At 44.7% G+C, this 12,166-nt stretch overlaps 1 long non-coding RNA gene across 1 annotated transcript in view; it reads right to left on the minus strand.

The window, feature by feature from the left end:
• Window positions 1-8,548: 8,548 nt before the first annotated feature.
• The window catches only part of ADD3-AS1 (ADD3 antisense RNA 1), a 62,823-nt gene continuing 59,205 nt past the window's right edge, over window positions 8,549-12,166 (minus strand). The window contains exons 4-5 of the long non-coding RNA NR_038943.1: window positions 10,186-10,266; window positions 8,549-9,285 (exon numbers count right to left, since the gene is read on the minus strand). This is a non-coding gene — a long non-coding RNA (ADD3 antisense RNA 1). The remainder of the gene's footprint in view (window positions 9,286-10,185; window positions 10,267-12,166) is intronic.

A 12,166-nucleotide genomic window follows, 5' to 3' on the forward strand; every position in this document is an offset into this window, starting at 1 on the left:
ACATGAGAAAGACTGGATTGGGCAATATTTATTAAGCACGTATTATGTTCCAGGCACTATCCTCAGTGGCACCACAAAGGAGACAAAGATGACTGAGCCTTGCCTCTACCTGGCAGCAAAACACTCCATGGATGTCAAACTTGGGGGCTGTTTTGTTCCAGCTTCAGCCAAAGTTGACCTACTGTTCACCTGTATATCTTCTACTCTTCTTCAGGGATCAGGTGAAATGTCTTCCATAAGGAAGCCCTCCCTGCCCTCCTGACCTTATGAGTGTCATCTGTGCCAGCCTCCCACAACAGCAAGCTCCGTGATGGCAGGGCCTATCCCAGTCTTGTTCCCACACTACATTCTTAGGGCTTAGCACAATTCCCAGCTCATGTGAGATTCTCACTTTCATTTAATACGACAATGAATGTGTACATAGCACATGCAGCCCACAATACTCGACTTTTTCCTTCTCCAAGGAGCTCAGATTCCTCAAGTCTAAATGTACCGACTTGGAGAAAGAACCATCTCTTTGCAAAACTCAACTGACTGAGAAGAGCAGTGAATGAAGTACATGAGAAAGACTGGATTGGGCAATATTTATTAAGCACCTGTTATGTTCCAGGCACTATGCTCGGTGGCACACAAGGGAGTCAACGATGACTGAGCCCTGCCCCGACCTGGCAGCAGAACACTCAGTGGAGGTCAAACTTGGGGGCTGTTTTGTTCCAGCTTAGCCAAAGTTGACCTACCATTCAGCTGAATTGTCCTCTTCCATGCAACTCACATGCCAGACCTTGTGTTGCAGTAAAAAAGGAGAAATTTCCCCCCTCATCAAATAAAAATCACTTGCAAGCAGGTCTTTTATGTGGCAAATATCTAGGTCATGTCATGTAGCCTTAGAAAGAGGGTAAGATCAACGCTTTAGAGTTTGAAGACCTAAAAATGATGGTGAGCAGGACCGAGACACCAATTCTAGATAACTTCTGAATGTATTCCCATATTTAGCAAATTTTTTTTTAGTGCTCCAATATGCCAGGCACCTAAGTGGCAGCAATAGAGCAAAAAACAAAATCGACCAAAATCTTGGCCTATGTGGAGCTTACATTCTAGTGGGAAAAGACAAGCAATAAAATAAAAATATAGTATGTAAGGCAGTGATAAGTGTTAAAGAGAAATAAAAAGGAAGGGAAGGGAAATTGGGTTGCTGGAAGTGGAGTGGGGTGTAATCTCTCTAGGAGTGTCAGGAAAGGCCTCTTTGGAAGCCTAACATTTAAAGGACGTAAAGGGGTGGGCCCTCACAGTAATGTCTTGATGCCTCAGCAGCACCAAAGTTGACAAAGTCACTGAACAGAAGAAAGAGCTGCCCTGGGTGGGATGTGCCAGTGCCCCGGAGCAGTGCCTGGCGGAGGGGACCCAGCCCAGCCTAGGCAGGTCATTTCCACAGCTAGGTTTGCAGCATCTCTCCCCTTTCCATGCTGCCTCCCACACCCTAGGATTATAGCAATACAGTTGGACATTATAAATCCAAGGAGGTCCAGGATAGCTAATGGAAGGAGCCATGGTTGGTGGGTCATGCATGCATTATCACCAGCTGCCAAGGAGCCAGGTGAGGGCAGGGGCTTTTATTATAAGTGTAATGGAATTATCAGACAGGTCCATACCACATACCGGACATGCTAGAGAGCCCTAGGGAAGGAAGCTACCAGGTATGCTGAAAATGAAAAGGAGATGTTGCAGGGCAGTAGGAGGTGTTCAGGGAAGACCATGGAGGACAATAGTTATAGCAGACTTGAAACAAAAAGGCATGGAGATATTCTGGGCTTTTAGGGAACGTTTGACCAAAATGAGGGAAAATTGAAGCTGAGTTGAGAAAGCAGTGTTAAGCTGGGTGTGATGGCTCACACCTGTAATCCCAGTGCTTTGGGAAGCCCACATGAAAGAACTGCTTGAGGCCAAGAGTTCAAGACCAGCCTGGGCAACATAGCGAGCCCACATATCTATTTTTTTTAAAATTAGCCAGGCATGGTGGCACATGCCTGTAGTCCGAACTACTCAGGAGGCTGAAGTGGGAGGATCACTTGAGCCCAGGAGTTTGAGGCTGCAGTGAGCTGTGATTGTGCCATTGCACTCCAGCCTGGGCAGCAGAGTGAGGCCATGTCTCTAAAAAAGGAAAAGAAAAAGGAAAGCAATATTGTAAATGCCCTAAGGGGCTACAGTTTTCTTAATTGGAGCTCCTAGGTTGTGGAGTTAGAGGAGGTGAGCAGGGGTGTACTGGTACAGAACTGGAAGAAAAGCAGGACAAATTAGGGTTCTGGCTCTTGGGATACCCAGTTCTGCCACATGTGAGCTGCAGGGCCTCAGCAGATCACTGTCCACACTGGGCCGTCTTCCCCTTCTCTGAAACAGGGCAGATTGGATGTACCCCAAGCCTTCCTCCTGCTATGACATTTGGAGACTATGGTAACAACTAAGGAATGATCCTCTCCTGGGCCTGCACACCCAACAGAAATATGTACATATGTTCACCAAAAGGCACGTACAATTGCAGCACTGTTCATTGTAGTCAAAAATTGGAAACTACTCAAATGTCTAAAAACAGTGAAATGGATGAATAAATTCTGGTCTATCCATACAGTTGAAAAGTGTAAAACTGTAGGAATGAAAAAGCTATGGCTGTATGCACAGTGTGAATGAATCACACAAATAGGACTCAGACATCTAAGAGTATATGCTGCGTCTGTAGGCCTTTATAAAGTTCAAAAACAGGAAACACTAAATTGTTACATTAGAAGTCAGATTAATACTTACCCTGGCTAGGGAGCTTGTGACTAAAGGAGGCCTGAGTGACACCCCCTGGCTTCTGATTATGCTCTTTCTTAATCTGGGTCTGCTTACATAGATGTGTGGACTTTATGAAAATTCCTGGAGCTATACTTTTATCATCTGTGCACCTTGTAAGTATATTATTCTACAATTAAAAATATACTTAAAAACACTTTTAGAAGAAAATATAGGTGACAATCTTTAAGATCTTGAGGTAGGGAAAAATTTTTTATATAAGACAAAAAGAACACAAATCATTAGAGAAAAAACCAATGGATTCAATTATATTTAAAAATTTTTTAATTCAGAAGGAAGCAGATACAATAACAGCAGTGCACCTGCAAACAGCTTCAGTGTGATAGGGGAATAACATAATGAATAGATTATTCATTTCATTTTGCTGTGAACTATGCCAAGCCCCTTGCAACTGTTATCCCATTGAACCATCATAACTATTCTATGAGGCCAGTGCTATTATCATCCCCATTTTGTAGATGGGTAAACTGAGGTTTGGAGGAGTTAAATTACTTGCCTATGAGCACTTGGTTGGTGAGTAGAAGTGCCAGTAATTGAATTCAAGTGGGTCTGACTTCTGAGCTTTTCATCATTTCTCAGTGACAAAGCAGGTTCAAAGGCCAGCTCGAGTGGGGAGTAAGGTCACAGGTTGCAGGTTCAGGTCCCCAACACAGTCCAGTCCCAGCAGTGTTTTCAAATAGAGCAGATAATTAGTTATGACTCCAAGCTCCCACCCCCCAAGATCAGAAGCCCAAGGTTGAATCAGAACCCTGTCCTCTTGATGGGGTGGAGTAAAAGTGAAAGGTGGGATTACGGGAATCCCATCAATCTCAATTTCAATTGAGAATTGAGAGGAGGAGGTTGGGCTCTTCTGTTGCATTCTCTGTGCCTGTTATAATCAGTGATGATGCCTTTCTCAGTTCCTCAAAAGGAATGTTCTACTCCAGCTAGTCCTCTCCCACTGAGTGTTGGCCCGGTATGCCAGGTTCATTCCAATCTCTGAACACCGTTTGTCCCACCTGGAAGACCCTTTCCCTTTCCCTCCTCTTCTATCTAATTCTGCTATACTTCCAGGCCCAGGTGGAGCCACACCTATACTCTGAAGTTGGCCTCTATTACTGCAAGCCAATACTGTCCAATAGGACTTTCTCTAGTGAGAAGGTTAATTTTGCATTTTCCCGTATAGTGGCCACTAGGTACATGTGGCTGTTGAGCACCTACTATGCCTAGTATGACTGAGAAACTACATTTTTTATTTCATTTAATTTTCTTTAATTTACATTTAAATAGGTGCTTGTGGCTAGTGGCTACCATATTGAACACACGACTTTGACTTTACCTTGTACCGACTCCCTGTATTGCTTTGATTATATTCCTTCAGGAACTGAATACGAAGTTAATAGATATTCTGCTTATTTTACTTACATAAGTCTTATCTTTAGAGCTGAACCATTAGCCTAAGAAAAGAGAAATAGGAAAAAATCTACTTGTGTGGCCATACTATTGGCACACAGTGCTGAGCATAGAGGATGTCAGTCTCAGTGAATTCCTGCTGAAATCAGTTGCTGGCTCAAAGTAGGCAGAGGTGGAATACAAGGCCTGGAGCACTTGGAGGCCTGAGTGGATGGTGCTCTGCTTCTGGGTGTGGGGTAGAAGGTGGATTCCCAGGAAGAAGTTAACAGCTCCCCTGTTACAGAAGTCAGCACCTAGAGCCTAGATGAAGACAGACTTTTGTCCTGGCCAAGTACATACTTAAACTCCTCTAAGGCCTTGCTGCCATTTCCTGGAATCCTCTTGCACCTCCCAAATGGCTCACGGTTCCAGAGCGCATGTCTGAGGCAGAGTACAGAGAAATGATTACAAAGCAGCAGTGCAGCCGTAGCAGAAGCACCTGGGGTGTTAATTAGAGGCATTAACTGTAGCATTCCTGAGAACCCATGAACTCTCTCCTCCCTTTGCCAAGCCGCAGAAACACCTTCTTTGGGATTTTCTCTCTGAAGTAGTAAGGAACAGCAGAGTGGGAAAGAGAAGCAGCTGAGCAGAAAAACCTTTGTCATGCCCCGACCCTGCAGCTTGTCCTTAGGCCCTGCCCTCCAGTCTTGGGCATTTCCCATTGGGACAGGCAATGAGGGACAGGGTCATCAGGGACACTCAGGAACAGATTGAAATGAAAGGGGCAGGCCTTTAATTATGCCTGTAATCCCAGCACTTTGGGAGGCTGAGGCAGGCAGATCATCTGAGGTCAGGAGATCAAGACCAGCCTGACCAACATGGTGAAACCCTGTCTCTACTAAAGATACAAAAATTAGCCAGGAATGGCAACGTGCACCTGTAGTTCCAGCTACTTGGGAGGCTGAGGCAGGAGAATTGCTTGAATCAGGGAGGCGGAGGCTGCAGTGAGCTGAGATCGCACCACTGCACTCCAGCCTGGGCAACAGAGCAAGATTCTGTCAAAAGAAAGAGAGAGAGAGAGAGAGAGAGAGGAAGAAAGAAATAGAGAGAGAGAAAGGAAGAAGGAAGGAAGGAAGGAAGGAAGGAAGGAAGGAAGGAAGGAAGGAAAGGGAAGGAAGGAAGGAAAGGGAAGGAAGGAAGGAAAGGGAAGGAAGGAAGAAAGAAGCAGTGGGGCCCTTGAGACAAGAAGACAAAAGAAGAGATAAAGGGGCTAAAGCCTATTAAAGAATGTTTGTGGCAGGGGTGAGTGAGAAAATAAAAAGAATGTTCATCAGTTCCTCCCAAGGCCCATGCCCACCCAGGTCAATTAGGGATTTCAAAACAGATGAAGGTCAAGTTGCAAGAGAAAGATAGAAGTGAAGATAGAAGGTCTGGGGAGGCTGGACATTGTACCAGGCAATCTGCACACTGGGCACTCCGGAAGGTCTTTGTATGGCGTTTGAAGGGGCCCTCGTACCTTCCTTCAGGGTGAGGTGGCAAATAGAGTGCAATGGAGATACCTGCTACCACCCAGGATGCCCAAACGGCCACTGGAAGATGTCCTTGGGCTGGCCCAGGATGCCCAAACGGCCACTGGAATGAGAAGAGTGGGAAGGTACCTGGATACCTGATTGCATTACAGATGGGCACCCCAAGGTGACATCGTCCTTATCCAGTCTAGGAGGGGTGTATTAGGCCATTCTTGAATTGCTATAAAGAAATACTTCAGACTGGGTAAACCTCAGAAAAGAGGTTTAATTGGCTCATGGTTCTGCACGCTGTACAGGAAATAGTGCTGGCATCTGCTCCTGGGGAGGCCTGGGGAAACTTCCAATCATGGAGAAAGGTGAAGCAAGAACAAGCACTTCACATGGCAAAAGCAAAAGAGAGAGAGAGCGCAGGGTGTGGGGTGTGGGGATGCCACACACTTTTAAATGACCAGATCTCATGTGAAGTCAGACCCAGAGCTCACTTATCCCACCAAGGGGATGGCCCAAGCCACTCATGAGGGATCCGTCCCCATGATCCAAACACCTCCCACCAGTCCCCACCTCCAACACTGGGGATTACATTTCAACATGAGATTTGGGAAGGGGAAAATATCCTAACTATAACAGGAAGAAAGTATTTGGGGTCTATATACTGTAGTACATCATCTGTAGCAGATCCCAGGCCCCACCTTCTCTGTCCACATCTGCTCCCTTGTCCAGGGAGAGGAGCATCATCAGTTTAGGTGGCCTGGCACAAAAAGTCCTTAACATCTTCAAAGCTGTTTTGGGGGGAACAAAAACTGTCTTCCCTCTTCTCTGAGTTTTGCCCTCTCTTCCTTTCCCCTGGGCCTTCAGAGACAGGCTTTGCTGGGTGAGATCCTCAGCCTCATCACTTCCCACCCTCCCCTCACTGACTCCTCCTCCACCACTCCACATCCCTCCACAGAGAGACCACCAGGGACCTACCTGTGGCCAAACTGAACAGAAAAAGCTAAGGCCTCATCTTACCTCTGAGACAATGCCTCCCCACTTCATGAACTGCTTTTCTCCGTACGCCTTCTTTGTCTTTGTGTGTGTGTGTGTGTGTGTGTGTGTGTGTGTGTGAGACGGAGTCTCGCTCTATCGCCCAGGCTGGAGTGCAGTGGCACGATCTCGGCTTGCTGCAACCTCCACCTCCCGGGTTCAAGCAATTCTCCTGCCTCAGCCTCCCAAGCAGCTGGGACTATAGGCACATGCCACCACGCCCAGCTAATTTTTTGTATTTTTAGTAGAGACGGGGTTTCACCGTGTCAGCCAGGATGGTCTCGATCTCCTGACCTCGTGATCCGCCCGCCTGAGCTTCCCAAAGTGCTGGGATTACAGGCGTGAGCCACTGCACCGGGCCTCTCCCTACGCCTTCTTAATACAGTGTTCTCCTCACTTTTCCAATTCCGTGGGGCCCCCTTCCTTTTCCCTCATAAGCCCAGATCATGCGGTGTCAGGGCTCCACTCACCCTCCCTGCACCACCCAGGGGGGGCTTGCCCTGCACCTGCTGGCCTCTCCTGTCGTGGCTTTAACCACCATATCAACAGCACCAGCCCAAAGCTGAGTCCTGGGTCCTTATTTCCAATTTACTCCTCAATAGCATTGTCCACATATTCTGCAGATACTTCAAACTCGACATGTCCAAAATTAAAATTATTCTCTTTCTTCCCTTGAAACTTGATTTCCTTTGCTCTATTTACAAATATTCATTACTATTCTACTCTTTGACAAAGATTCAGCTCCTAATGAGGGGCAGTTTTGCATTTATTTCCCTTCCTCCTGTTAACAGTACCTAGGTTTTCATTCAGGCAAGACCCCTCTCCCCACAGCCCATATGCCACTAGAGAAGGTGGTGTCAGGCATGATCCTTGGTTTTCAGCACATCCCCTCCTCCTAGCCACCAAGTTGGGTTTAGGAATAGGCAGCACGTGGCCCAGTTTGAACTAGGGAGATGTGAAGAGATGCTGCCTGGGAAGGAACTGTCTCACACTTACAAACTCCTTGGACAGCTGCTTTCTCATCCTGAGTATAAATAAGGAAGCATGTAATTCTCAGAACATTCTGGCAGCCACCCTGTGATCATCAGGCAGCCAGTCTTAGGATGAGGCAAATACCTGGGAGCCTCAGAAGAAAAGGAGAAAGAACTAGATCTTTGGTATTATGACATTGTTAACTTCTGGATCAACCCTCACCTGAAGGTCACCTTATCACTGGGGTTGTCAATAAATTCCTTTTATATGTTAAGACTGTTGAAATGGGGTTTGCTATTGCAGGCATACCTCATTTTATTGCACTTTGCAGACATTGAATTTTTCACAAATTGAAGGTTTGTGACAACTCTGCGTCAAGCAGGTCTATCGGCACCATTTTTCCAACAGCATGTAGTCACTTTGTGTCTCTGTGTCAGTATTTTTTAGCAATAAAATATTTTTTAATTAAGGCATGTACATTTTTATATATCATACTATTGTGGATTTAACAGACTATAGTATAGTGTAAACATACCTTTGTATGCACTGGGAAACCAAAAAATTCATGTGACTAGCTTTATTGCAATATTCACTTTATTGCGGTGATCTGGAGCTGAACCTGCAATATATTCAAGGTATTCCTGTACTTGTAACCAAAACATCCTCAGTGATAGAACTAGTAGTAGATCCTCAATAAGTATTTTTTGAATTGAACCAACTTGTAAAAACGCATTAATTATACATTGTCCTTCAAGTGATCCAATGCCTTGATCCCATTAAACTACACACATCTCATTAAGAAGCACTTCAGTGGCAGAGATTGTTTTATTTTTTATTTATTTTAGAGGTTTACAGTAATCATAGGCCTCATGGGGTGCCTCAGATCACACGATGGAGGCAGCTAGACATGCTGCCTGCATGTGAGCCCAATTCTCTCTCCATTTCAATTTCCTTGTCTCTAAATCCAAGTGATAAAACTTGCACTTCCTTCTACCACCCCAGGGTCATGAAAAAGTTAGGAAACCAAACGTATTACATTTTATAAGGTTTGTTTTCCACTGCAAGAAGTGTGGATGCTATCTATATAAAGTGAGACTCCTCACATTTGGAGGGGCAATTTCTCTCTTGGGAAACTTGTGAGAAGAGCTCTTAGGTTGGCTCCTTACACTGATGAAACCTCTAATGAGGTGTCAAAACCACAAACAAAACTATAACACATGATGGCCAAAACAAACTTATTAAATGCTGATAAAATCGTTAAGATGAGTAGGTTGAATTGGATCAGAGGTTTTTGACCATATTGTGCTAACACACTGGTGAGTCACAATCCCATGTGCCATATATGTTATAAGTACTTGCTCACTAATAATTGTCCAAATTTTTTATTTACTATAGGGAACATCTGTTGGTTTTGCCCACTCTGCTTCCATTCTCCCATTTTCTAGTAACGCCCCTCAGTCTTCCTTTGGGGAATACTCCCATAGCCCCTCTTAGTCCATGTGGTTCAAATGAGGCCGATGCCACCTCCATCCCCACTTCCATCCTGGAGAGAAAGAAAGAGAAGATGTAGTCCTAGGCAGTCAGCATATCCCACTGCCCTGAAAACAGTGGCTGATTCAAGGATAGGGGACAGTGATTCCAAGTCAGTCCAATGAGTCTTAATCCTAGAACTTAACACTGAAACTATTGGGAGAAGAAAGCTCTCTTTTCACAGAGGGTGCTAAGCTTTGGGGATACAAACCGAAGCCTGCCAACAGCCATTTATCACTCATGAAAAGACTCTGTCTGACAGTGTCGATAGAAAGAAAAGTAGAACCTAGAGATGAATAAATAGTCTAAGTTCTGACAAAACCATTTGATCCCCTGGATCTAGCCAGGACTAAAGCCTCTACTGCTGGATATTCTTTAATTTCACGAGTCAATAAATATCAACTCTTGCTTAAGTTGGTTTGGGTCAGGGTTTTGTTCCATGTGAGAATCCTGAGTTTGCATTTTTGAAAAATAAATTAGAGTGAAATCAAGGTTACCCTTATAATAACCTCTCTCACTAACATTCTGGTATGCTTTCTTGAGTGAGTGAGAGTGGAGTGGAGAAGGAGCCAATGCCAGCGATGGCATTTTGCTTGCCGTTTAGGTGCCTCTTAAAGTGAGAGACCAAAAATCTGAGCCACCAAAGTAATGTGTCCTGCTCCTGCCCACGATTCATCTGTGCATCTTCACAAGATAAAAGACTGAAACCTCTTTACTATTATTTCTGAAGTTCCTTCCAGCTCTATAGCTTCCAGAGTGTCTAAATGACTTTTATCATCACAGTGCAGTTCTGTCTATGGCTTTTTGTATTTCCTAAAGCATTCCTGCCCAACCCACAGCAACATTTGCACTTAGACAACCCTAAGCAGTCAACAGCCCTTATAATACCACTTCACAGATGAAGAAACTGAACCTGAGAATGGTGAAGTGACTTGCTCAGCCACAGAGCATGGGAAACTCAAGTTTGCTTCCTAACCAGCTCCCTTTCTTCCTCCTGCAAGGGCAAAATGAGATCATAAATAGGAAAGCACTCTGAAAAGAAGGAATCTCTATTGATGCCAGATGTATTATTATAAAGCCAAACCTAAGTATAGGGTGACCTTGTTATCACCCCCAGAGGTGGAGATGCTTACAGATCTGGCCGGTTTAATCTCTGGATACCCTGGGGAGAGTATCTGGGGCTTTCTCCAGTAGGGTTAAGTTTTGCATGTTCCCGACATCACTTTCTCCAGAGGGGACCCATCAGAAAGAAAAGAGTGACATCCCCTCATTCCTTAAAAACATCACCCCCTCAATTTTGCACAACTCAGGCCAACCCAAACGTCAGAGGGTAATAGTGTTGATGTCAGGATTCAAAATTTATGGACAGTGTGGACATATGCGATGGTTTGTTTGGGGAAATGGATTTGTCATGTGCAGGATATATGGCACCAGATAAAACATCCTGACAATATTACACGATTGGGGAGGAGGGGGTGCACAAGGATATTATTTTGAAAATACACTGTTATGACATTTTAAAAATTCCAGAGTGAATGCTGAGAAGATCCAGAGGTTAATGTGATGCTGGAACATGCAGCTGTGCAGGACCATAAAGAGTCATCCATTTTGTATCACAAAGTACATTTTTCATCTTCTTCTCCCTCAAATCATGGAATTGGGGGCAGGGATATTGTAAGCAAATTTGATTTAAGTACATTTAAAGGAGACTAATACAAAAGTAATAATAAAGATTCATCTTTTTGAAATTTTGAAAATAATCCAAGCTGGGCGTGGTGGCTCACGCCTGTAATCCCAGTATTTTGGGAGGCTGAGGCGGGCGGATCACGAGGTCAGGAGATCAAGACCATCCTGGCTAACACGGTGAAACCCCGTCTCTATTAAAAATACAAAAAAAAAAAAAAAATTAGCCAGGCATGGTGGTGAGCGCCTGTAGTCCCAGCTACTCAGGAGGGTGAAGCAGGATAATGGCGTGAACCTGGGAGGAAGAGCTTGCGGTGAGCCATGACTGCGCCACTGCACTCCAGCCTGGATGACAGAGCGAGACTCCATCTCAAAAAAAAAAAGAAAAGAAAAGAAAAGAAAAGAATCCAAATAATCTAAAAATAAAAATTTGTCCAAAATTGCAAGATTTTTGACCTGCAATCCCAGCAAACTATAAACTTTGCTTCTTCTCTTGCCAGCTGGCCAACATAAATGGCTGCCATCCTTTGCCAAGAGGACTCTTATATCATGAGATTTGTTTGTTTGTTTGTTTTCTACTCATCTGAGGTCTCATAAAGTGCAACCCTAACAAAATGCAGCTTCCTTATACTTAGATGCAGTAAAGTTTTTCAGAGGGCCTGTTATATATAGGCTTTCACATGTCTGCTATTTTAAACCTCACAATAGCTCTAACAGGTAGATAACGCCATCCTCATTTCACAGAGGAGGAAACGGAGGCTTAAAGGATTTGAGTAGCTTGCCCATGGTTATGTAGTGAGGAAGTTGCAGAGCCAGAACTCACATTCAGGGCTTCTATCTCCTCTCCACCACAACCACTCAAGCCAAAAGAGATGAATTTGACTGCATTTGTGCATATAGTCATTGTTCTCCAGGCATGTGTCAGACACTGTGCTAGGCACTAGGTCAGTGAGGATGGGAAGATTCCAGAACCAAGATTTCATACGGGCAGGCAGTGCTATAAGGCCTAGGGTCAGAAGTTCCAGGTCAGTTCCAGCAGGTATCAGTATCTGGAGATATGCATGGCAGTGAGAGATGGACAGGGGTGGGGTGGGTCCCCTTCGCCTGGATGGTGTGTTGAACAGCACAAACAAAGCTAAGAGTGCTTCCCTTCTAGGTTAGGTTACCTTCACACCAGAAATTATGGAGATTCATTGTAATGATAGAAATAG

Source organism: Homo sapiens, chromosome 10 (assembly GCF_000001405.40).
Source record: "Homo sapiens chromosome 10, GRCh38.p14 Primary Assembly".
NCBI classification, from domain to species: Eukaryota; Metazoa; Chordata; class Mammalia; order Primates; family Hominidae; genus Homo; species Homo sapiens.